Raw genomic sequence first — 25,937 nt, forward strand, 5'->3', positions numbered from 1 at the left:
AAGCATTGTTCATGATCCTCAGTGGAGTTAAGGTTGGAATCCTCACAATGAAAACCAAAAAAAATTTGTTTTTACTCCACTTCTGGAAAGCAAAAGTTCTGCTTGCAAACAAAAGCAATGTGGTTGGTGGATAGGGTGATAGTTCTACATCCGAAGACCTGGGATCAAGTCTGGTGCTACCCAACTGCCAGCCACATATAATCCAAATATCACCATGTCCATGTGATAGCTAATTTCAGATGTCAATTTGACTGGATTAAGGAATACCAAGAGAACTGGTAAAGCATTATTTTGGGGTGTGTCTATGAGGCTGTTTCCAGAGGCAATTAGTGTGTGAGCCTGAGTGGACTAAGTGGGGAAAGATCTGCCTTCAATGTAGTCAGGCTGAGGGCCCAGAGAGAATTACAAAGGAGAGAAAAGGATTTCCCTTCGCTTTCTCCTGCAACTGGGACATGTACACTCTTCTCTTCCTGACATCAAGACTTCAAGCTCTTTGGCCTTAGGAATCCAGGACTTACACAGTTGTCCACCTCCCCACCTTTGCCTTCTCAGCTTTTCAGGTCTGTGAACTCAGCCTGAGAATTACACCACCAGCCTCCACAGTTCTGAGGATTTTGAACATGGACTGACCATGCTACCAGCATCCCAGAGTCTCCAGCTTGCAGATGGCTTGCCGTGGGACTTCTCAGCCTCCATAATTATGTGAGCCAATTCCCCTAATAAACCCCCTCTCATATCTCTCTATATATATCCTATTGGTTCTGTCTGTTTGTAGAACGCTAACTAATACACCCATGTACCCAGGGCTTCTGAAAAGCCAAAACACTGCAAACATTTCCACTCCTATCTCAATGTTTTAAGAAATTTCAAAGTCTTCATACATTCATAATACAAAATTAAACTTTACAACCCTTTTCAGATATCTCTTTCATGGTTTAGAGTTTGTCAGGGAGGAGTCAAAGTCCCTTCTCTGTCCCACTCACTTCCTCCCACACATTCTTACCTACAGGCAGCTTGCCTTTTCCTCCGCTAGTAACTCTCTCTTGCAGACACAGCCCCTTCATGGCTATTCTGGAATCTGCCCATTACCTCAACTCTGCACACCAGCTGCAGTGAGGAGGGAGTCTCTTAATCTTTCCACATTGATCATCTTTGAATCTCCAATCTTCTCCTGAGTCTTCATTTCAGTATCTATGAATTGGGGATGCTACCTGCCTAGTCTACTCCATAAGATTGTTCTGAAGGCTCCACGTCACATTAGATGTAAAAGTACTTTAAAATATGTTAAATTATTGTAAGTGGCAAGTCATCATTATTTTTAGATCAGGTGTTTTTTTTTTTTTCACTCTCCATGAACTTCTCTCAGGGAGGAAAAAAATGTTGTAAGTTCTCCCATTGTGGAGCGTTTGTGGGTGAAAAGAGAGCTCTGCCTGATCTCTGTGTCTCCCTCAAGCAACATCCCTCCCTTTCTTTCCCTTCTGAGCCAAGCTTTTGGGAAGCATTGTTAGCACTCATTAGCTCTCTTTCCTAACCATCAATTCATGCCCCACTGCTCCACTGCATTTCCGGTGCTTCTGCTAAGGACATCACTATCTAGCAACGAAACCAAACTGTTGTGCCCACCCCCCTTCCTTCCTTTGATTCCATCTCTCAGAGAGGGTCTCCTCTTACCTCTCCATCATATTCTCTTTCCCAGTGTCCTCTTCACTCAGTCCCTTTAAATGTTTGCATGACACTGGGGCATTCCTAATGACTGCACTAGGTACCAGCTCATCTTGAGCACCTACCATGCATCAGACACTTCACCTTTCCCATCTCACCCTCACAACAATCATGTAAGATTTGTATCTCCTCCTCATCTTACAGATGAAGACACAGAGGCTCCAGGAGAACATGAGTGCTGGCCAAGACCACACACCCCATAAACCACGAAGCTAGAATCCACATCCTGGGCCTCACTCTCCAGAGCCCGGCTGCCTCCCTCCTCTCTTCAGGCTTCCTGAGTTTGTAGCTTGGTTTTGTTATTTATTTGCTGAGCTCAAATCCTGGCTTACTTAACCTCTCTAACTGCCCATTTCCTCAACTGGAAAATGGGGCTAATGATAACACAGACCTTTTAAGTTGTTGTGAGGATCATTAGATAATGTTTATAAACTACTCAGCAGAATGGCTAGTGCAGAGTAAGCCTCAATCAATGTTATTACTACTTTTTATTATGTTCGGTACCGTTGTCTTTTCTCTACACACTCGCTCTTTGGTCAGGCTCACCTACACACACAGCTCCCAGCAGCACCTACATGTGAGAAATCCCCACCCTTTATGGCCAGCCCAGACTTCTCTACTGAGTGCTAGGTCCATATGCCCTGTCACTGGCTAGATTTCCTCCCCTTTGATATCCCATGCACACCTCAAATGTGACAAACTCACGGCAGATCTCACCCGCATCCTCCTGTAAATCTACCTCTTCTCTGACTGCCCTACGCTGGTGACTGGCAGGTCCCCCTGAGTCATAAACTTGGGCTTTGTCCTTGACTCCCATGTCTCCCCGGTTTCACTGTTCCAGCAACATTTGATCAGTTACTTAATCCTTCCTCTTAAACATCTCTCTGAGTCATCCAGCCTCTCCTGGATATTGCCTTTGTCACTGCTGAGTCTGTCTTGATTTAAATTTTTGATATTTTAATAATAAAATTTTTTTGATATTTTGTTCATCATGTATTTTGTGCACACATATTTATTTCTAAAAATATTGCATTAAAATATTATTTATTATTAATAACTTGGGGTTTTAGCACTTCCTTAAATTTTACATCAGAGATAAGCACCTCACTTGCCTTACCTTATTCTTGGTCCTGCGGACAATTTTTCTCCCACTGCAGTCTCCTATAGTATCCTGCCAGTATTGTATTTCCAAAACGTAAGTAGCTCAAGACACACCCTTGTTTCAATGCATTCAGTGTCTCCCGAGCTTTGCGATTCCACACCACCTCCACCCCTCCCCCTGGACCCTCTGATCCAGCAATAGGAATCCATGTCTTTTTCTTAAGGTGGCCCCACTTTTACATCTCTGTGCCTTTGGAAACAACAATAGCCTTTGGATAGTGATTTTTTGACTATCCTTTAGTTATCTGGGATGGTTGGAAACTGGTTATCCTTGCAAATAGCTCAATGCTTAGGCTTTTACTGATAAAATCTAAATTTCAACTATACTGTATCAAAATCCATCTAAAACTTATGACACATCTCTGTGGTCTTCCATATATAACACATTCATGACTTTAAATGCTCTTTATGACTCAGCCTCATGCTAAGCCTCAGTTATGGTGCTTTTCTATAATCCCGTGATGCCAACCTCAGGAGCCATTGAGATTTGTAAGCTGGTGCTATAATCTAAATGTTTGTGTCCTTCCCAAAATTCATACGTTGAAATCCTCAACTCCCAAGCGATGGTATTAGGAGGTGGGGCTTTGGGGGAGGTGATAAGATCATGAACCTTCATGAGTGGGATTATTGTCCTAATAAAAGAGGCCCAATGGAGCTCATTCACCCCCTTTCACTATGTGAGGACACAGCTAGAAGGCGCCATCAGTGAACCAGGTCTTCAACAGATGCTGAATGTGCTAGCAGCTTCATCTTAACCTTCCCAGCCCCCAGAACTGTGAGCAATACATTTCTGTTTTAAAAGCTACCCAGTTTTTGGTGTTTTGTTACAGCAGCCTGAACTGGCTAAGACAGTCAGCTTGCCCCTAAACTCAATGTTCACATACAATTCATTCTTTTTCTTGTTTGGTTGTATTCTTCCAGAGTATCTTCTTGTTCCTTCTGATCTCTGCTCCCTGCTGTCACTGGTTCTGCTTTTTATTCTTCATCCCCAATTGCTTGGTCTCATTCCATTTTCTTTTTCCACATAACTCCAGCCTTAACCTTGGTCTTTGTCACTGTCTCCGCTGTCTGTGCCATCCCAGTACTTCTCTTTGTGGGTGCTGACAGGGCTTAATAATAAAGCTAGCCAGGTGCGGTGGCTCATGCCTGTAATCCCAGCACTTTCAGAAGCTGACGCGGGTGGATCACTTGAGGTCAGGAGTTCGAGACCAGCCTGGTCAACATGGTGAAACCCCGTCTCTACTAAAAATTCAAAAATTAGCCAGGCGTGGTTACGCACACCTGTAATCCCAGCTACTCAGGAGGTTGAAACATGAGAATCACTTGAACTCGGGAGGCAGAGGTTGCAGTGAGCAGAGATCATGCCACTGCACTTATGCCTGGGTGACAGAGCAAGACTGTCTTGCTCTGCCTAAAAAATAAAATAAAAAACAAAAAGTATAACCTTAGCCAGCCTATGACTGTGCTGTCTTTTGCTCTGCTAACTGATTCACCCATTTTATTATTCAGTCGCTGTATTCTTGTCTCCTTTCTTCTCCTTTTACTTTTGGATGTGCCATTGTTCTGATTAGTTGAGAGGTGCCGAACAGATAACTAATTATGGCAGTGTGAGCCACAGGATAATTCTCAAGTGATCTCTGCTGTAGCATGTCCCCACATAGGGCATAGTGGGCAAGGTTAAGAAGGAATTCTAACCTTGAATACCTGAGGACCTGACTCCGTTCTCATTCTCTATCCCTGTGCTCATCAGAAAATGCCAATCCTAAGCTATTTGGGTGGGGTTGGTTGGAGAGACATGGAAAAGTACCCTGGGCAGCTGAAGTGCCTGTTAAATCTTACCCACATTTGAACAAATTCACTCTAAGTTGATTTGGTTCTCCTTTAAAATGAGAGAAAGCAAGGACTTAGACTGCCAATTGCCCCCTGAAATTATCTTTGGCTGCATTAAAGAGCTTCACAGAATGACAGTTACTTTTTATTATCAAGAGCTTACTTGTAATTATAAAGTATAGAGAATATACATATATGCCAATGAATGAAGCATGGGAACACTAATAAATTTAAAAATTCAACAGGCTCCTCAAACAACTGGGCCCAAGACAGAAACTGCTCAGAGCAAGATTTTCAAATAGATCTTTTTCTAGTGACTGAGATATTTAAGAAAAATTGGCATAAAGTAGAACCCGGAATCTTCTGTTCACTTATTTTTCTGGCTATTACATCATCCCTGAAAATAAACAAATAAATAAAGCAGGGGTCAGAGAAGGTATAGTACTTTTTGGATGCTGACTATGGATAAGGCTTTTTGCTTGTTTCCACAGCACTTCCTATCCCTGCTTTCTGTATCCTTGGAAAGAAATGTGGAATAATGAAAATAGCAAAAGGCTTGGCAGCCAGGCAGGCCCAGGTGTGATCTCAGTCCCACCATTCATTCTCTGGGTGGCCTTGGGCAGGTCACTCTAACTCTGTGAGCCAAAGGGTCACTAAAGCACCCTTCCTGGAATTCCTTTGAGGAGTCAGTGAGGGAGCACACAGTGAGTGGGGCTTCCCTTCATATCCCCTGCTCTGGGCCAGGGACCAGGACCTGGTGTCAGGGTCTTTACCCAGCACTGTACCAACACTTGCTCTCCAAAATGGGACTAGGGTGAAATTTCTTCACAGTATGAAAATAATGGCCCAGGGAACGAAGCAAATGCCAAGAGCTGAGCCTTAGGGAATGACTAGTAGGCCCAGATTCTTGGGGTGACTTCCTTCGAAGACTTCATTTGTTAACACCTTCCTTCCCTTCTTGTTAGTTTCAGTGGGAAGTAGGATTGGGGTGATTTGGAGAAGCAGTGGGGAATTTAGTTAGGGGAGACTCCTGGGTACCTGTGGGGACATAAAAAGGGATTGGTGTGGGATGGCAGGTAGAGGCCACAAGAGGAGGGCGTGAATGCTACATGAAGGAGTTTGTTGTTGTTTGGTGGAAGAGGAGGAGGTATGCATGTGAGGAGGGGTGGCCATGAGCCTGGAGCTGTCCTGCAGGGCAGCTTCTTTCACTCTGCTGCGTATGTGGTGGAGAGCTCTGACCCACCCTGCTCTTGAGTGTTTCTGAATGCTAGGAGCGGGGACAAACCTGCAAGGCTGATTGGATGTTGAGGAACAAGTATGTAAAGAGAAGTGTATACATAAAAACCAAAAATCCCTGGGGCTTTGAATCCTTCTAGAGCTCCTGGCCACCTTCTTCAGGACAGCAACTGACAGTGTTGTGAAGTGCTTGGCTTTGTCCTTCTCGCAGGCCATCTGGGCTAAGTAGTGAGATCCACGTGGCCAGGAAGGAAGGCATGCATCTCCCCAGGCCTGTGGCTCTCCTTGTATTGACCTTGCTGCTTCCTGGGCTAAGCAGCTGCAGTGAGGGTGTGTTGCCCTGAAGCAGTTACGTCATTCATTAATCCAAATTCTGAAAGACAAATGAGCATATGGTGCTAAAATACTTTTTTTTTAAAAGCCACAGTTTCATTGTCTTAGTCAAAGCAAGATTATTACGTGATTATTTTCAATTCAATATATTTGTTTTGGAGACAGTTTCTTGCTCTGTCACCCAGGCTGGAGTGCAGAGGCACTATCATAGCTCACTGCAGCCTTCAACTCCTAGGCTCAAGTGATCCTCCTGCCTCAGCCTCCTGAGTAGCTGGGACTACAGGCACCTGCCACCATACCCAGCTAACTGTTTTTCCAGTGTTTTTAGAGACAGGGTCTCACTATGTTGTCCAGACTGGTCTCGAACTCCTGGCCTCAAATGATCCTCCCACCTCAGCCCTAAATTCATTTTTTTAAATTAGCAATTTCAAGTATAACAAATTTGGAATAAAGGTTTGTTTTCTATTAATAAAAATGAATAGTGACAAAACCCCCAATATTCTAGATTGTGAGACTTCCCTCTTGTTGTAGTTGGACCACATTTAAGGACTAAATTGGAAGGAAGGAGCAAGAGGAGTCTGTGACAAACCTGTGGTTAAGCTCTCTTTGAAGAAATCGCACAGTATGGCTCCGTGCTCTGAACATGCTCTGTGTCTGCCCTTTTTCAAAGGCGAGACAGCCACCTCGAGGCCAGTCAGACCATGAATAATGGTCTAAGCCCTTGCCACCAGGATGGAGAGGTCTGAGCAGTACAGTGAAGAGGCTTCATCAGCAAGGGCTGATTCAACGGCACCTCTCTCTGGATTCAATGGCATTCTTTCTGGAGGTTAGCCCATTTCTTTAAGTCAGCTCCATCCAAGTTTGATTATCCTTCTTTGAATCTCTTCCAACAATTTGACATCCTTGAGGTTGAATAGCTGAAAACTGCACATAGCGCAGCACTCCACACAAAACACCTTTAGAAATTTCTAGTTGAGAAGAACTTGGGCAAAGTCAAATCTCCCCACTTGATTTTGTTTATGTTCCTCTCTTGGGATTTGTCTTGGGCATGTTACTGTACAAATAACTGCTATCATCATCATCATCAACACCAGTTTTAAGAATTATAATAGCAATAAAATTGACTTACCATTTTTGAGACTGGAGTTTTGTTACCTGATATGGTTTGACCCTGTGTCCCCACCCAAATCACATGTCAAATTGTAATCCCAGTGTTGGAGGAGGGGTCTGGTGGGAGGTGACTGGATCATGGGGGCGGACTTCCCCCTTGCTGTTCTCATGATAGTGAGTGAGTTCTCATGAGATCTGGCTTTTTGAAATGTGTAGCACCTCCTCCTGCTCTCTATTCCTCCTGCTCCTGCCATGTGAGACATGCTGGCTTCCCCTTTGCCTTCCGCCATGATTGTAAATTTCTCGAGGCTTCCCAAGCCATGCCTCCTGTACAGCCTGTGGAACTGTGAGTCAATCAAACCTCTTTTCTTTATAAATTACCCAGTCTTGGGTAGTTCTTTACAGCAGCATGAGAACAGACTAATACATTACCTAAAACAAATTTTGGAAACAAATCAGGTCATTAAAAAGTGCAAGCACGGCCAGCCATACTAAGCCACCTGTTCACTGTGTTGCTGGGGTTTTTTTTTTTTTTTCAATTTATTTTTTTGAGCCAGCATTCTTTTGTGAATATCAATTTCTACTGGGCAATCAGGCCATGTGGTCTCTCCTCTGGACTGGCCCCTACAGCCTTCCACACTCTGTGACACTCAGTGGCCACAGGCCCCTGGAAAATTGGATGTGTGACTGAGTCTTTAAGAGGTGGAGTGACTTACTTTAATTCAGTAAGTCAATATGTTTTAAACTCAGATTGTTTGTTCCACAATAGGAAAAAGCTGTGAAATTTCTTGTCTCAGCTCTGTCTACCACTACTTTGGAGGGGCTACAGGTATCAGTGAGATAAACCAAAGTCAGATATTCAAACTGGGGCATAAAATGTTCTGCATGAGTGTCAAGAATGGTTCTTTGGGTGTGGCGAAGGGTTCACACCTACATTTAATTTTCGAAATGTGTTTCTTAAAAATATGCCAAAAAGATACCTAGAAAAACACATATCACTGATTGAAATATGTAATGCATTTAAATATACATACATATGTATATACACACACACATATATGTTTTCATAATCACACTAATATCTGCCCTGCTACACTGATGGTCAAATATTTTGGGAGAGAACATCTGGCAGCCTACCTCTAGTCATCTTTTCCTCTATAAAACTCTTCCAATACCCTGTTCTAGCTATGCTTAACCTTCCAAGCTTATCAAACAAGTCAGGTTCTCTCTCCACTCCACACATTGCTCAAATTGCTTCCACTGCCTCAGATATCCTGCTCTGCCCCCATTCTTAACCTGGCTACCTACTCTTAGAGTTTCAGTGATCTCTTCCAGGAAGCCTTCAAACATGCACACACAAATACTTGACTAGCATCTCATGCACAGATACTTGCATACTTGACTGGTACCTCATGCTTACTTCTATCAGATGATAGCGTTGGCTACCCCGTATAGGACGATCTGTTTACTTATCTGTCCCCCGCCACACCAGACATAGGCCATCAGGTCCACCAGGACTGGTGTCTTTATTGTTGCATGTTTCCATTCTTCACACAGCACCTGGAAAATAGGTAAATAAATATTAAGTGAGTGAATGAATGAATGAATGAATGGGATGAAGGAATGAATTCTTGCTACTGACTGGTGCATAGTTGCTACGCACATCCACCTCCAATTCAGCTCCCTGCTGGAGTCTGAAATTGAAGGCTGGTGGAGAGAGGATTTGGTCTTCCTAGGCAAAATGCAGTTACCTGACTTAACCATTCACACTCCATGTGGATGGGATAAAAACACCTAAGTGAGTTTTTCTTGTCCTGGTGATTTTTGTAGCAGTTTGTGGCTCATTTTTATCAAGTCTAGATACAATTTTCTTTCATGTGCTATGAAGTCTTGGTTCCTGTAACACAAACCTCTTTAATCATTAGTCTTTCTGGTAGAATTTGATAGGGGCCATATAAAATGCTTCTCTTCATCTGCTAAGAGCCATTTATGGACACTTACTATGAGCAATATACATTGCAAAAGACCAGAAAACTCACCCTCTGCTTATGATTCAGCACTGTAACATGATAGCCTGGAAACTAGTCTGATAGTTTAATCAGTGCTATGTGATCCTTATTTGTGGTTGGCTGCCTCATCAATTTTCATTTGGGAATTGAAATGGACTCTGAGGCAGATATGGCATTAATTATGGGGGAAATTGGTTGCAATATGCCTTGAGGTAAAACCCTTCTGATGGGAATCTAAGATTGAAAGAAAGCCAAATTATAAAAGGATGATTTACTGAAAAAGGCAAATGTATGCATTACCATCACTGCTTAGCAGAGAAAAAGTTGCTGATAAACCAGAAAGATTGTGGCATGACTGAAAAGTGAGGAAAATCTCTAGGTCTAGCTCTCTCAAAAAAAAGATTTATTCTTATGCTGAATGCATTATATTTCCCCAGATACATACAACATTTTCCAAAAGTGTGCTTCAATTAATAGGCAAGCAAGCATTAATACTAGTTGGCAGGGTCCCAATTTTCTTCTAGATTGAAATATATTTACTAAGAACTGAATAGGGAGCATCTAGGGACACCAAAGTTAAAATTCATTTTACCAGTTGTAGTATCTGCTGTTGTATCAATTTTCTTGTTAAAATACCACATTTTTTTTACCTGAAGATTTCAAAAACCTTCTTAGTTAATACCCTATTTTTCCTATCACTGAATCTTGATGAGGTAAAATACAGAGGAAAAGTCATCATAGAAATGTCTATTCCCAATTTAATATGAGAAAACTGAGACATAGGAAGCTTAAGTTAGTGCATTGTTTAAAAGCAACGTATTTTTCTTAATTGGATACAAAACAGAGTGAGTTATCAAGGAAAGTACCAACTGGGAGTTAACACCCCTTCCCACGTCTCACCCAGAAAAAGGTCAGCACTGTATTTTTATAAGTTGCGATGTGTTTACCCATACCCAAGCAGAAAGTAAGGAGCTTTTGTGTTGCAGGAAGAGAGTAGCACAATACAGTGGTTAGCAACTGGGTCTGGAGCCAAGACATCTGCACCCAAATCCTGTCTCTGCTACTTACTAGCTGGGTGACTTTACCCTTGGTCTCTGTGCCTCAGTTTTCTCATCTGTATAACTGAGATAGAATAAAAGTACTGGCTGTGATCTTGAAAAGTAAGACAGATCCCTTCGTAAAGGGAGGAGTTGCAGGGACTGTTCAAAGTAGATAAAGCAGGCGCTCCTGGACCCCAGGGAAAGTTAAGAGTCCTAAGACCAAGAGTAGGGATGGGATTTTGCAGGTTTCCACCAGTAGGAGAGACCAAGTGGTACCCAGATGGGAGACTACAGGGTGCCTGAACCTGGGACTCTGGTTAGGAACCCGGGGGCCTAGAATTCCAGGGGTAGGTTTGTAGTTGATGGAGCTGATGGCCCTGGTGGGTCGTGTCTGAGTTTGTCTGCAGCCCAACCAAAGCCAGAGGAACAAGCCTTGACCACACACTTGGAGCTAAAGGTATTTTCATTGTGTATTCCCATTCTTTATACTGCCCCTGGAAAATTCATAAATAAATGTTGAGTGAGTGCAGCCACTGTGAACCAAATATCTGGCATTTTCTCCATTATTGTGTTTTTAAGCAACCTCCCCCACCCCCAAATCTAGAAATCTTGAGAAGACAGAAAAGCACAGGAATGACAGAGGATGAATGTCCCACCAACCAAATATGTGGACAGTCAGGAAGATTAAATTTGATTGAGAACAAAAAGGGAAATGTGCTTTTATCTCACTCTACTGTTGTGGACTAAAATCAATACCTGCTGAATCAGTTATGAACATATTGGTAACAAAACCCCTACTGGTGACAGAAAATATGGCAGTTTATTCAATCATGACAGAAAAATCTAGAAGTAGACTCTCCAGACTGTCAGTGATACCATCAAGGTCTTCTTTCTGCTCTGCCATCCTTTGCGTGTAGCTTTTGTCTGCTTTGTTACAAGATGGCAGCCGGTCCCCTAAACCATTTGTCCAGGGAGGAAGAAGGAACAGTGGGCAGGGAGGAAGGGGTGGTATTGAAATCAGGAAAGCAATCACTTCCCAGAAGCTGTCACTTTATATTTCACTGGCCAGGACTGTGCCACATGCTCATCTTTCTGATGTGTGATGATGAAGCTATAATTTTCAGCTGGGCACATGGCCATGCTGAACTAAATTAGTTTCTATTAATGAGATTGAGAGGAAATGGACAGACAGAAGGAGAGCAGCTAATAGTGTCTGCCACACACATTTTTCCCAACATCTGAAATCTACCTTTATCTATGTAAGAAAACGTATATCATGTTTAAAGCAAACCACATAGATTTTTTAAAAATGACAATTTGATTTAAAAATAGAGGGGGCAATTCTACTTAAATAAAGAGTTTACAACACAGGCTCCTGTAATCCCAGCTACTCGGGAGGCTGAGGCAGGAGAATTGCTTGAACCCAGGAAATGGAGCTGGCATTAAACCAAGATCGTGCCACTGCATTCCAGACTGGGCGACAAGAGAGAGACTTCATTTCAAAAAAAAAAAAAATCATTTGATTTATATAATGTTTTTAATAATGCAAAACCATCTTTAATCTCAAGGAGGCCTAGAGGTAATCTAAGCCAACTCTTTCATGGCACAGTTGAGAGACTGAGACCTATAGAAATGTCATGTAATTTTCTCAAGTTTCTACAGTTAAGTAGTGGCAGGAAAGAAATTAAAAGTCTTGCAATAATGGATGGCAAATTTTCAAGAATATCTTTACATTTTAGACTTTGAGTCTGAAAAATAGGTAAATAATAGTAGTTTTCATGCTGCTGATAAAGACATACCCAAGACTGGGAAGAAAAAGAGGTTTGATGGATTCATGGATCCACATGGCTGGGCAGGACTCACAATCATGGTGGAAGGCAAGGAAGAGCAAGTCCCATCTTACATGGATGGCAGCAGGCAAAGAGAAGAGAGAGCTTGTGCAGGGGAAACTCCCATTTTTAAAACTGTCAGATCTCATGAGACTTATTCACTATCACAAGAACAGCACGGGAAAGACCCAGTCCCATGATTCAATTACCTCCCACTGGGTCACTCCCACAACATGTGGGAATTCAAGATGAGATTTGGGTGAGGACACAGCCAAACCATATAATTCCACCCCTGTCCCCTCCAAATCTCATGTCCTCACATTTCAAAACCAATCATGCCTTCCCAACAGTCTCCCAAAGTCTTAACTCATGTCAGCATTAACTTAAGAGTCGACAGTCCAATGTCTCACTCAAGACAAGGCAAGTCCCTTCCACCTATGAGCCTGTAGAACCAAAAGCAACTTAGTTACTTCCTAGATACAATGAGGGTACAGGTATTGGTTAAATACAGATATTCCAACTGGGAGAAATTGGCCCAAACAAAGGGGCTACAGGCCCCATGCAAACCTGAAATCCAGCTGGTCACTCAAATCTTAATTCTCCAAAATGATCTCCTTTGAGTCTGTGTCTCATTTCCAGGTCACACTGATGCAAGAGATGGGTTCCCATGGTCTTGGGTAGCTCCGCCCCTGTGGTTTTGCAGGGTACAGCCTCTCTCCCAGCTGCTTTCACAGGCTGGCGTTGATAGTCTGTGGCTTTTCCAGTCACATGGTGCAAGCTGTCAGTGGATCTACCATTCTGGGGTCTGGAAGATAGTGGCCCTCTGCTCACAGTGCCCACTCCACTAGGCAGTGCGCCAGCAGGGACTCTGTGTGGGAGCTCTGACCCCAGATTTCCCTTCTGCACTGCTCTAGCAGAGGGTCTCCATGAGATCCCTGCCCCTGCTGCAAACTTTTGCCTGGACATCCAGGCATTTCCATACATCCTTTGAAATCTAGGCAGAGGTTTCCAAACTCTAATTCCTGACTTCTGTGGACTGGCAGGCTTAATACCATGTGGAAGCTGCCAAGGCTTGCACCCTCTGAAGCCACAACCCACGTTCTACATTCGCCCCTTTCAGCCATGGCTGAAGCAGCTGGGATGCAGGGCACCAAGTCCCTAGGCTGCACACAGCATGGGGACCCTGGACCCAGCCAACAAAACCACTTTTTCCTCCTAGGCCTCTGGGCCTGTGATGGGAGGGGCTGCTGTGAAGAACTCTGACATGCCCTGAGGACATTTTCCCCATTGTCTTGAGGATTAACATTCGACTTCTCATTACTTATGCAAATTTCTGCAACCAGCTTGAATTTCTTCTCAGAAAAATGGGATTTTGTTTTCTATCACATTGTCAGGCTGCAAATTTTCCAAACTTTTATGCTCTGCTTCCCTTATAAACCTGAATGCCTTTAACAGCACCCAAGTCACCTTTTGAATGCTTTACTGCTTAGAAATTTCTTCCACCAGATTCCCTAAATCATCTCTCTCAAGTTCAAAGTTCCACAAGTCTCTAGAGCAGGGGCAAAATGCCACCAGTCTCTTTGCTAAAACATAATGAGAGTCACCTTTGCTCCAGTTTCCAACAAGTTCCTCATTTCCATCTGAAACCACCTCAGTCTGGACTTTATTGTCCATATCACTATCAGCATTTTGAGCAAAGCCATTCAACAAGCCTCTAGGAAGTTCCAAACTTTTCCACATATTCCTGTCTTCTTCTGAACCCTCCAAACTGTTCCAATCTCTGCCTGTTACCCAGTTCCAAAGTTGCTTCCACATTTTCAGGTATCTTTCCAGCAGCACCCCCCTCTACTGGTACCAATTTACTGTATTAGTCCATTTTCATGCTGCTGATAAAGACATACCTGAGACTGGGAAGAAAAAGAGGTTTAATGGACTTACAGTTCCACATGACTGGGGAGGCCTTCCCACAATCATAGTGGAAGGCAAGAAGAAGCAAGTCACGTCTTCCTGGATGGCAGTAGGCAAAGAGAGAGAGCTTGTGCAGGAAAACTCCCATTTTTAAAACTGTCAGATCTCATGAGACTTATTCACTATCACAAGAACAGCACAGGAAAGACCCAGTCCCATGATTCAATTACCTCCCACTGGGTTCCTCCCACAACATGTGAGAACTGTGGGAGTTACAATTCAAGATGAGATTTGGGTGGAGACATGGAGAGTCTTTAAATGATTAGTTAAATATAATACTAAATGTGATTTATTTTTAACAACTTTGTAAGGATTATTTCAAAAATAAGTACATAAATAGATAATTCTTTATCAGAACATTTGTACATGATTTTCATCTGAAAGTATGAGAGTAATAAAAAGGGAAGACTCTTACAATGGTAAAATACTAACACTGCTACTTACTAACTACATAATCCATAGGCAAGTTACTCACTCTCTAAGGCTCAATTTTTTCAATTATAAAGACGGATGAAACTTTGCTATAAGATTTTTGAGGGGGCTAAATTAAGCAGTGTATAGATAGCATACAGCACAGTGCCTGCTATTTAATATGTTTCTAATAAGTGGTTGTAGATGTTGTTGTTATCCTCATGGTGTCATCATCATCATTATCATATTCTTGGGGAAAAACTCAGCCCAGTGTTCTTCATATTTCACTACGAGATAAAAAGCTGGAATTGTAAGAGTAGATTCAGAAAGAAAAAGAAGATTCTGAGAAGGGATTTCAGAACAACTTCCTCTCTGGAGTAAAGAACAGTTAGGAAAGAATAACTGGCAGCCTAAAGGTGCCTCTGTAGCTGAGTATACTCCCAGGAAGTCTAGGCAGAGAACCAACATTAAACTCTGCTCCTCTCGGGGCCTGGTGAGAGCTATGGAATGACCCAGAGAATCCAGAAATTCCTTCTTCTTTATACCAGGGGCTGAGTTTGAGATGTTACGGCTCCCAGAGGTGCCTTAACTGATGGAAGCCTGTGACTCGTCTGGGGGAAGGCCATCATCACCCATTTGCCCATAGATACCCTTCCAATCCCAGTGGAACCAAAAGGAAACTTACAGGTGGGTCACATGGCTCTCAATCTTTATGACTGTGATCAAAAGAGACCTGCAAGTAAAGAGGCTGCATCTCCAAGCTTCAACAGAGAGCTGTTAGTTTTACCCAGTTTGTTTATTCATGGCTCACAAGAGTAGCAACTGCTGTGCCTTCTACTACTTATCTACTAGTAGTAAATAGTTGGATCCCAAGAGGATCCCAAGCCCTCTAAAAAAGAAGCTCACAACCTGGCTTACCTGTTGAGGCAGTAATAATTAAAAACAAATATATATATATACATATATTTAGGCAAAGAAAAAAAAATGCATGTAAGGGACCCAGCAGCCAGATAGAAACAGACAAAGGAGACTAGAAATATTAGCTGGTTGCTAATATTGATGGAGAACTGGTAGAAAATAAAGAAAATATTTTAATTAAAAAGTAATAAGAACTTCTCTTTTTGATAATGGCAGGTGGGCCATTAGAGCCGATCTTCCCACTGAAGCAGGAAACATATAATAAATATACACTTGAAATATTCAGAAAACGAATAAAACAATGAGGAATTAAAGAGCAAGATCTAGAGAAAACAGAAAAGCCTGCTACGTGAGCCACACATTTAGGGCAGCTTTCTCTCTAGGGGTGTCTGCTATCATTTAAATATGCAACTGAGAAGATGAGCAGAGTTCTGAGAACCTTGTGGAATAAACAGACAAATGCTGCAGTTCAAGGATTACCAAAGAAGGAGAAACTTGTATACTTACAAAAGAAATACACCCTAGGAGTAAGGATGACCTATGAGTAAACTGAACCTCACAGGGACTGAAGCCCAGCGTTGAGTCATCTTATTTCCTGAAATTAAATCAAGGTGGTCTGGGATGGCTAAAGCCTCTGGTCTCCTGCCAGAGACCAGAAATTATTTCTATATTTTTATAAGTAAAAACTAGCACTCAATAAAAAAAATCAGGCACACACAAAGACAAGATAATATGAAAAAGGGGGAAATAATGCAGAATAGAAACAGATCACTAGAAAACAATGTAACACAGCTGACAAATATTTCTAGTTACATTTTATAAGTTCAAGGAGATAAAAGATGAGAATTTCAGCAGAGAACTGAAATCTGAAAGAAAGAGAATTCTAGATTTGAAAAAATTAACAAATGAAATTAACTCAATTTATAGGATTAACAGAAGATTAAATGCAAATTAAGAAAGAATTCATGACTTGAAAGATAAGAAAGAATAAAGATTCCAAGTTAATTTTATTCCAAGTTAAATTTACTCTGAATGGTCTTACGTAAGTAAACAGACTTCCTTGGGTTTTGAAAATATGAGGAAACAAGCCACATGAACAAGAGTAAACAAAAATAATAATAAAAAGCTCTATCAGACCACAGTTATTTTATATCACAGAATAATTAAATGAAGAATATAAAATAATGTGTTTAAAATATTTAAGGAAATAAAAAGTAATTAAAACCATGAGCTGGTAATTAACATAGTATCATGGAAGAGAAAGATTTGAAAACTAGTCAAATATAACTCTTCCCCCTATGTACAAAAATCATCATCATTAACATGTAAAAAGCCAATAGAAACCTTAAATTGTAGATAGGACTCAGCTGATTAGAGGTAAGTAGGGTACTTAAGGATAGAACTGAAGAAATTTTGTAGAAGGTACACAGTGAGAAAAAGAGATAAAAGCAGGAAAGAGCAAGGAAGATCAGAGACATGGAGGATAAATTAAAAAATATATATATACACAAAAGACCTAAGTGGAGTTCCAGAAGAAGCAAAAAGAAGTTCAAAGAGGCCATAGTTGAAGAAATAATGGATGAGAAATTTCTAGAATTAATGAAGGATATGAATTCTTGGATTCAGAAAATATAACTAATCCCATACAGGACAGAGAAAAAGAAATCTACAATTAAACTCATCAGAGTAAAACTACAGAATATCAAAGACAAAGGGAACATTTTAAAAAGGAAATAAAGGGAAAAAAAAGACAAATCACCTACACAGGAGCAATAAACTGGCAGCTGATTTCTCAACAGTGAGAATGGAAACCAGAAGAAAATAAATCATTTCTAGATACCCTCAAAAATTAAGACAGAGAGAGAGAAAATTTATCACCAAAAGTCCCTCAGTAAAAGAAATTCTGGAGTTTATGCTTGGTTAGAAAAAAAAATGATCCTAGAGGAAAGGTCTGCCATACAAAAGAAACGTTGGCAAAACATTGGTAAGTGATGACTGAATCTAAATCATTAACTGTGTAAAATAATGAGAAAATGGCTAACATGAGGGATCAAAAATTGAAATTAAAGATTAAACAACAATGGCATGAAGTAGAGAAAAATCAGCTTGTCTATCTCTAATTATTCCTTATCATTATTTCACTGGGATTGCACTAAATGTAGGGGTTTATCTTGGCAAGTATTTAACTTCTTTTCTGTTGTTGTTAATTTTATTTTATTTTAAGTTCTGGGATACATGTGCAGGACATGCAGGTTTGTTACATAGGTAAATGTGTGCCATGGTGGTTTGCTGCACCTATCAACCCATCACCTAGGTATGATTAATTTCTTTGTAATATAGCATCTCTTTCTCTCCCATACCTTTTCCTTTGTTCAAGTCATTATTTTTATGTACTTCAGGGGTCTTATAAAGTTTTATTTTATAGACATTGCACATTTCTTCTTGAGTTTATTCTAGGAAATTTATCTTGTTATTGCTATTATAAATGGGGTCTTCCATAATATCATCCAATTGGTTGTTGACCATATATATAAAAGCTAATTACGTCTTTATATTAATTTGGTAGCAATCATATTTCTGAATTATCTTATTGTTTATAGTAGTTTTTCAACTGATCTTTAGTTTTCCAAGTTTAAAAATTACATCATATGTAAAAAAAAGATAATTTTACCTCCTCTTTTCCAATGTATACTTCTCTTGCCTGTTTGTATCAGCTAGTACCTCGGTCTAAACAATGTTAAATAATAGTGGTGCTAGTGAATATTCTCTTATTTCTGATCATAATGGAAATGTTTTTAGAATTTGTCCACTAAGTATGATGCTATTTTGCAGACTGAGATGGGCATTTTTTTATCACACTAACGAAGGATCTATGTATTTCTATTTAATTGAATTTTAAAATAAAGAGTGGATGTCAAACTTTTTGAAATGCCTTTTTAGTGTCTAGAGAAATGATCATTGTACATTCCCAATGCACATCTACTAATATGATGAAATACGTTATATTGTGTTTCCCTATACCAAACTAGACATGCACCACTCAAATACATTTCACGTGGCCATGTGTCTTATCTTCTAAGGTGCTGCTGAATTTTGTTTAATTTTTTAAATTTGGGATAATTGCTTCACTATTCACAATCAAAATGAAAACTTGTAGCTTTATTTTTGTGCAACCTTTTTCAGTATTTAATGACAACGTTATGTTCACATCATTTAAAAAAATCTTTGGAAGAATTTATTTTTCTAGGGGCTGTAAAAGTTGAAATTTCATGGGAATTATCTACAGTGCCAGATAACACCTTTTTCACTGAAGGAAGAAATTTCCTATTCCTGACTTTTTTTTTTTTTTTTTTTTTTTTTTTTTTGTCCTCCAGGCCAAATCTGGAGGAGGCAGACAGCAAAGTGGGATGGAGTAAAGAGGGTGTAAGAAAAAGATAAAGCAGCAAGTGGAAATACAGATGTTGGTAATGCCTTCTGTCCTCATCTTTGGCTCCTCAGCCTGAAGCAGTTCTGAGCTGGGGGAGGGTAGAACCTTAAACTTTAAGTGAAGTTCAGAATTTGTATTATTAAACTGTCTGCCTCTTCAAATTGCTGAAGACTATCCTTGTGACTTGAAGTGTTCGAAGACTTTTTATAATCTAGAAGTTACTGGAAAATCTATTGGACTTAAACAAGCACATCGAGTAGGTTTGAAAGGACTTCAGGAGGAAACATAAAGTTATTTTATGATTGCACCCTGTTGAGTTCATCTCTTGCTATGTGACAGTTACACCTGCCTAGGACACTATAAGCAATAATGAATAAAACAGCCCAGCTTGTTTAAAGGAGTACAAAATGAAGGGGAAAAGTCTTGACTTCCTTACAATCATCATCGAACAGAGCTCTTTCCTCCATTTCCATTTAAATTGTAAACCCTATCTAGAGGAGACTCGCTTATTTCAGAAAGATTTCCCCAATAGTATATCATCTCTCTCAAAAGAGGGAATCATCCTGTCTCCCAGGAGTCAGATGGCCGATTAAGAGTACGTATTGGTCAAAGTGGTGCCACCACATCAGCCAGGATTGAAGACATCCCTCCAGAGTGGTTAATATAAAAGCAAAATGACTTTACTCCTAGTATTGCTGTCTGATATTTATAATTCAGCTACACCTTCCGAGGAGCTACCAGAACCACAAAGCAATACTTCTCTGACCACTGCAATTACTAAGGAGGAGACATTTGATAATTCGGTATCTACAAATATTAAGGAAAGTCAGCTTTGCAGTCGTATATCCTAAGCTTGTTAAAGAGTATGCTAACCAAATCATCTGCAAGAGTTGGCATGGCCGTTGGGGGAAATTTGTTCATTCTTTCTTTTTTGCAGTTTTTAAAAGGTTTTCAGATTCACTCATTCATTCATTCCCTTTCATGCTTATTCCTCATTCCCATTCCCCTTTTCTCCCTCAATAAGCAACAATTTACTTGGGATGTATTCATTCATTTTTATGTGTTCTAGCAAAGCGTGCGCTATTTTGAGTGGCTATATTTTAAATTTCCTTAAATGATATTGTACTATAGAGTTCATTCCACTAATTTTAAATTTTTGCTTCTTTCACCAAACACTGAATGTGTTGTCATCCAGTCTGTTGCCTTGAATGGCTGGATGGTAATCCATGGTGTGCCTCCATCACTGCCAGTAATAAACAACCAGATTCCCTCCAACTTCTCATCAAAGCCCTGTGATGAAAATCTTCCTATAGCCCTTTATGAGCCTGTGGGATAAGTTCTTTGGGATATACACCAAAAAAGAGGAAATGCTGAGTCGTAAGGTCCATATGCCTAGGTCAAGATCTATGATCTGACTGAGCAGCACCACATTGTGCTCCAGACCAGCTGCACCTGCCACCCTCCCACAGGCAGTCGACTGGCATTGCCACTGTCCATATGCCATGCATGTTATACAGCTCTCCAGCTTTTGTCTGATGTAAAAAGTGATAACTGGTTGTTATTTTAATCTGCACTTTTAAAATTATGAATATGTTTAAGCATCTTTTTATAAACCCAATAGCCTTTTAGGTAAAAAGCCAGTTCAAATCCTTGGCCCATTTTTCTATTAGAGTTAATGCCCTTTTCCTTGTTGGTTTATACAGTTCCTTATAAATTCTGAATATTAATCTCTTATTGCTTTAGACATTGCCAGAACTTTTTTCAAACCCTCATTTGTCTATCTCCTTCACTGAACTGAAAACCTTAATTTTTATGTAACAAATTCATCATTCTTTGTTTGACAATTTTGTTTTTCTTCTTTGGATTAAGAAATCCTTCAGTGCCTCCATATTATAAATATATTTTACAATGTAGTTTTATTTTTTAACTTTAGGATTATAATTCAACTGGAACATATCCTTTGCATGTCGTATTTGGTAGCAATCCAATTTACAAAATCAATATCTTTCCCATATAGAAATAGTAACCAATCAGAAAGTGTAATGAAAAATATTATATACATAATAGCAGAGACACAGTAAAATACTCAGAAATGAAAATATGAACATATAAAACCTATATGAAAAAAGATAAAATTTTGTTAAAGTATATTAAAAAAACTCTTGAATAAATTAAGAGATATACAACGTTCACCAATGAGACAATTCAATATAACAATGATATCTATTCTTCCCATGTTAATTTCTATATTCAATCCAATTCCAACCAAAATGCCAAGATAGTATTACAAATTGAATTTAATATGGTTGCTTGAATGTTTATTTGAGGGAGAAATATGTGAAAAGGTAGCTGAGAAAGTTTTGAAAAGTGTTTGCTACATTAGGTATTAAATATACTATAAAAAGTACAGCAATAAAATAAGTGTCATAGTGACATAATTGACCAACAGGAAAAAAAACCACACACATTTCAGAAACAGACCCATATATATATGTACTAGAATTAATGATTAAGGTGGATCTAAAACTGTATAATTTCTATCTTACTTAAAAGATGAAATTAAGGCAATTGGCTATATATTTATAAAACTTAAAGTTTTATTTTCTTCTTACATATATAAAACTAAATCTCAGATAGACGGATGAGCTACACCAAAAAGAAAACTATTTTTAAAAGTGCTAGAAAGTACATTTTAAAACATAATATTAGGGTGTAGAAGGTCGCCACACCACCCAAATGCCATATAGGAATAAATGGACAGATTTTACTAAATTAAGAAATTATAAACTTCTATCTAGTAAAAGGAACCACAAAGCTAGATATAGGAAGAAAAAGAGCTATAAGATTAAAATATGAAGTAAAAAAATTAAATGTCCAATTTATAAAAGCTTCTTCTCTTTTCTATGTCAATGAAATAAACAACCCAAGGAAAAAAATACACAGGATATGAATTCTCAGAAGAAATAAAGTTGGCCACTAAACATGCAGAAAATTTTCAATCTTTATTATTTAGGGAAATTTAAATTAAAACATTAATAAAATATCATTTTTCTTTAATCGGATTAGGAATACTATTTGTTAATTCCTCAATGTTGTGGGGAAACAAGCATCCCAAAATTTTTTGGTAGGGATATAAATTGATACTTTGTTTTTGTTGTTATTTCCACTGACCATACATCTAACTTTCTGTCTCAGTGTAATCTCCCATGGTGTATAATCAAACTGGTAGGTGCACTTGTCTTCTATAATGAAGTGTAGGGGCCAGATCATAGCCTTAACTAACAGTATTCTCCTCCCTAGATTTCAAATTTTAGGCAAGCATATCTTAGATAAAAGATGTTGTTATGGACTAAATTGTGTCCCCTCCCCACCCCAACCCAGTTTATATGTTGAAGTTCTAAACCCCAATTCTCAGAATGTAACTATATCAGAGATAGGGCCTTTAAAGAAGTAATTAAGTTAAAATGAGATCATGAGGTTGGGCCCTAATCCAATATGACTGTGTCTTCATAAGAAGAGGAGATTAGGCCACAGACATGAAGACACAGGGAGAAGACCACCAAGGAAAGAGGCTCAGAAGAAACCAACCCTGCCACACCTTGATCTTGGACTTCTAGTCTCAAGAACTGTGAGAAAGTTAATTTGTGTTGTTTAAGTCACCCAGCATGTGGTACTATTGCATGGTAGTGCTAACAAACTAATACAAAAATGTTGAACTTCATTTGTTACAGAGGCTGGTAAGTTCTGTTAAGGGCCAGACAGTAAATAGTTTCAGCTTTGGCGGCACAGAATCTCTGTTGCAATAATTCAGCTCTGCCATTGAAGTGTACAAGCAGTCATAAACAACATGTAGATGAATAGGAGAGTCTTGTTCCAATAAAACTTTATTTATGGAAATAGGTGGAGGGCCAGATTTGATCAAGGAACTGTACTTTGCTGTTCCTTGATGTACAGTGGCATCGTGCAATTTCCTTCGGGGAAATTGTACATTTAATGGTACAAGTCAAGGCCACATGCAGCTCCACATCTACTGCCAGTATCAGCAATGGCTACAGTAGTATCATAATCAAACCATCCCTGCCGCCCAGCCTTTACAGCACCGTTGGTTTTTACTGATTTTTGAAGCTTGTCTCCAATCAATACTGACTCCTACATTTTCTTAGTGGGAGAGAATTTTTTGGAAAATTATTTGTTTAATGTAGCCTGGGCTTTTGTTGCTTCCAACTGAGAGTACAGATTGATACAGAGGGCAATTTATGAGCAACTGACAAACTTAAAAAGAAAAAAAAAAGCCCTTTTATCCTTCAATAGAAAAGCAGAAAAGTATCCAAAGAGATTACTTCATGTATGCACAATTAACACGTACAGGAATATTCATTACAGCCATTTTGTAATGTCGGCATAGCCCAGGATTTATTTCTTGGCCCTTATCTTTTCTTTGTCTACATTTATTCTCTAGGTCTTTTTATTTGGGGACAGAGCCTTAAATATCACCTATATGCTAACAATCTCCACATTTACAATCCAGCCTGGACTTCGCCTATGAATTCCAGAATTCTATAGGCAACTCTCCACTCAATAGCTCCCTATGGATTGCTAATAGGTTTTCAAACATAACATGCTCTATTTCTCCAGTAAAGGACAATGAGGTCAGCCTTGATTCCTTTAATCTCACACTCTATATCTGATCTTGTTGGCTCTACTGTTTAAAAGTTTCCAGAATTAGAACACTTCAACTGCTGTCACTGCCATCCAAGCCACAATATTCTCTCATCTGGATTATGGCAACAGCCTCCCAACAGATCTTTCTGTTTCTGCCCTTGTTTCCTCCAGTCTGTACTCAACAGCTTGATGCCATGAGATTGTGTCCCTTCTTTTCTCAAAACCCCTCAATATCCTTCCATCTAACCCAGAGTTAAAGCCAAAATAGGTACCAGAAGACCCAAGAGATCTACATGCTCTGACGCCCTACACCTCTTTAACATTATCTTCTACCACTATCCCCCCTGCTCAGGCCATTCCAACCACATTGGCCTCCTTGCTGCTCCACAAAGCCTTTGCACCTCCCATGCCCTCTGCCTTGAATACTCTTCCTCCAGATATTCACAAGGCTGGTGCTCTTGTTCCTTCAGGTCTTTTATCAAGTGTTACTTCTCAAAAAGGCCTTACCTGAACACTCTGTCTGAAATTCCTACACTCTGCCCACAATAGTTCCTATCTCTCTTCACTGCTATATTTCTTTCCTCATTATCTATATAATACACTTTGCCTATTCATCTTGTCTGCCTTCTCCAGGAGACTGTACAAGGGCAGGAAATTTTATCTAGCTTTTGTTTTTTGTTTTTTTTTTTTTTTGCTGTGAATCCCCTGTACCCAGACCAGTATATAGGAGATAGTGAGCACTCAAAAAGTAGTTTCTCTGTAAATAAATGCATGAATTAAAGAAATGAAAGCATTATAAGAGTCTATTAATGGTGATGACTTAAATAAATTATGGTAGATTCACAGGAGGGCAATATAGAATAAGGACTCTAGAATCAAATTGCCTGGAATAAAATTCTGTCTCTGACACATGCTATCTCTGTGACCCTGGTAAACATATACAACACCGTAATGCCTCAGTTTCCCCTTCTGTAAAATAGATAATGAAAGTACCCATCCCTTAGGATTGGTGTAATATTAATGAGATTATCATATCAAATGCTTAGCACAGTGTCTGACACTCAGCAAATACTTAAATAATGTTGACTATTACCACTATTACTATTACAATGGAATACTATATGTCTGTTAAAAGTATGAGGTTGTTTTAGACATATACACATGAAAAAATCATAGATGTTATCAAAAAATGAATCCAAAACAAATAGGTATAATATGTTCTCACTTCCATGTAAAAAAATCCCTCTGTGTGTATGCATGTGTAGATTAAAATGGACAGAAGAAAACAGACTTCTATCAATGGTTACCTGTAATGAAAATTATGTGGATGGCAACGAAGGGGACTTTAACTTTCTGTGCTCTATATTTCCTCACCATTTGAACTGCTTGATTGATTTATTTTCAGTGAGCCCCAATTCATTCCCTTTTTGCATGTAAAAACTTTTAAAAATGGGGTGAAAGTTTCCTCCTACATCTGCTGCTCAGAGGATGATCTAGACCCATGAGGTATGATTTTTAAAGGTGCTACAGAAGGTCTCTGACTGGACTTACTTATCAAAGTATATTAATCTTTTAAAATCCATTCCCTTACTGATATATATTTAAGGGTCCTTTTGTAATTTATATTTTCCCAAGTATAAAATCTGATTTGAGAGTAAAAAGTTTGCTTTTTCAAACTACACTCCCCTTCTCCCTCCCATTCAAGAGTCTGAAACACTCTCTTAAAAGCTATGCCTCCTTTTTTCTCTTCCTAAAAAGTAACCTAGAAACTTAAATAGATTCTAATGTCTCATTACCAACTTAATGTCAGAAATTCCTGACCAATGAGAGCCAAATAATATCTTCATTCGGTAGCAGTTCTGTTGTGCCTATCCCTTTTCTATTGATAATGAATACTCTTTCCATTTCTAGATTTCACAACTTGAGTCTTTTTTAACTTTTCTCCCCCATCATCTATCACATCCAATTTGTATTTAATAATCAGAAACTCAACAAACATTTACTGAGGACTTATGTACCAGGCACAAAACTAGGGGTTAAGAGACACAGTAAATCAGGTATGGTCTTTGCCTTCTAGGTACTTAGAGTCTAGTGGGGAAATAGACATGCAAGCAAACAACATACTCTAAAGCACCACAAAAACACAGAAGAATAGCCACTTTTCCCAAATAACATCTCTTGCACCTGTTCCTTCTGCTACCTCTCTTGTCTAAACCTCTCACTTACAATCTGTTCTCTCACTCATCTCTCCATGTTTAACAGTTTCCCATCCTAATGTACA

The 25,937-nt window shown here is 39.5% G+C and overlaps 1 long non-coding RNA gene across 1 annotated transcript; it reads right to left on the reverse strand.

Moving 5' to 3' along the window:
- Positions 1 to 4,845: 4,845 nt before the first annotated feature.
- On the reverse strand, positions 4,846 to 7,042 carry LINC01050 (long intergenic non-protein coding RNA 1050). The gene is made up of 3 exons (NR_125747.1): positions 6,872 to 7,042; positions 5,999 to 6,322; positions 4,846 to 5,110 (listed from the first exon to the last, which is right to left on the reverse strand). It is a non-coding gene; the product is annotated as a long intergenic non-protein coding RNA 1050 (long non-coding RNA).
- Positions 7,043 to 25,937: the final 18,895 nt, after the last annotated feature.

The sequence above is a fragment of the Homo sapiens genome, chromosome 13, assembly GCF_000001405.40.
Source record: "Homo sapiens chromosome 13, GRCh38.p14 Primary Assembly".
In the NCBI taxonomy this organism is placed as follows: domain Eukaryota; kingdom Metazoa; phylum Chordata; class Mammalia; order Primates; family Hominidae; genus Homo; species Homo sapiens.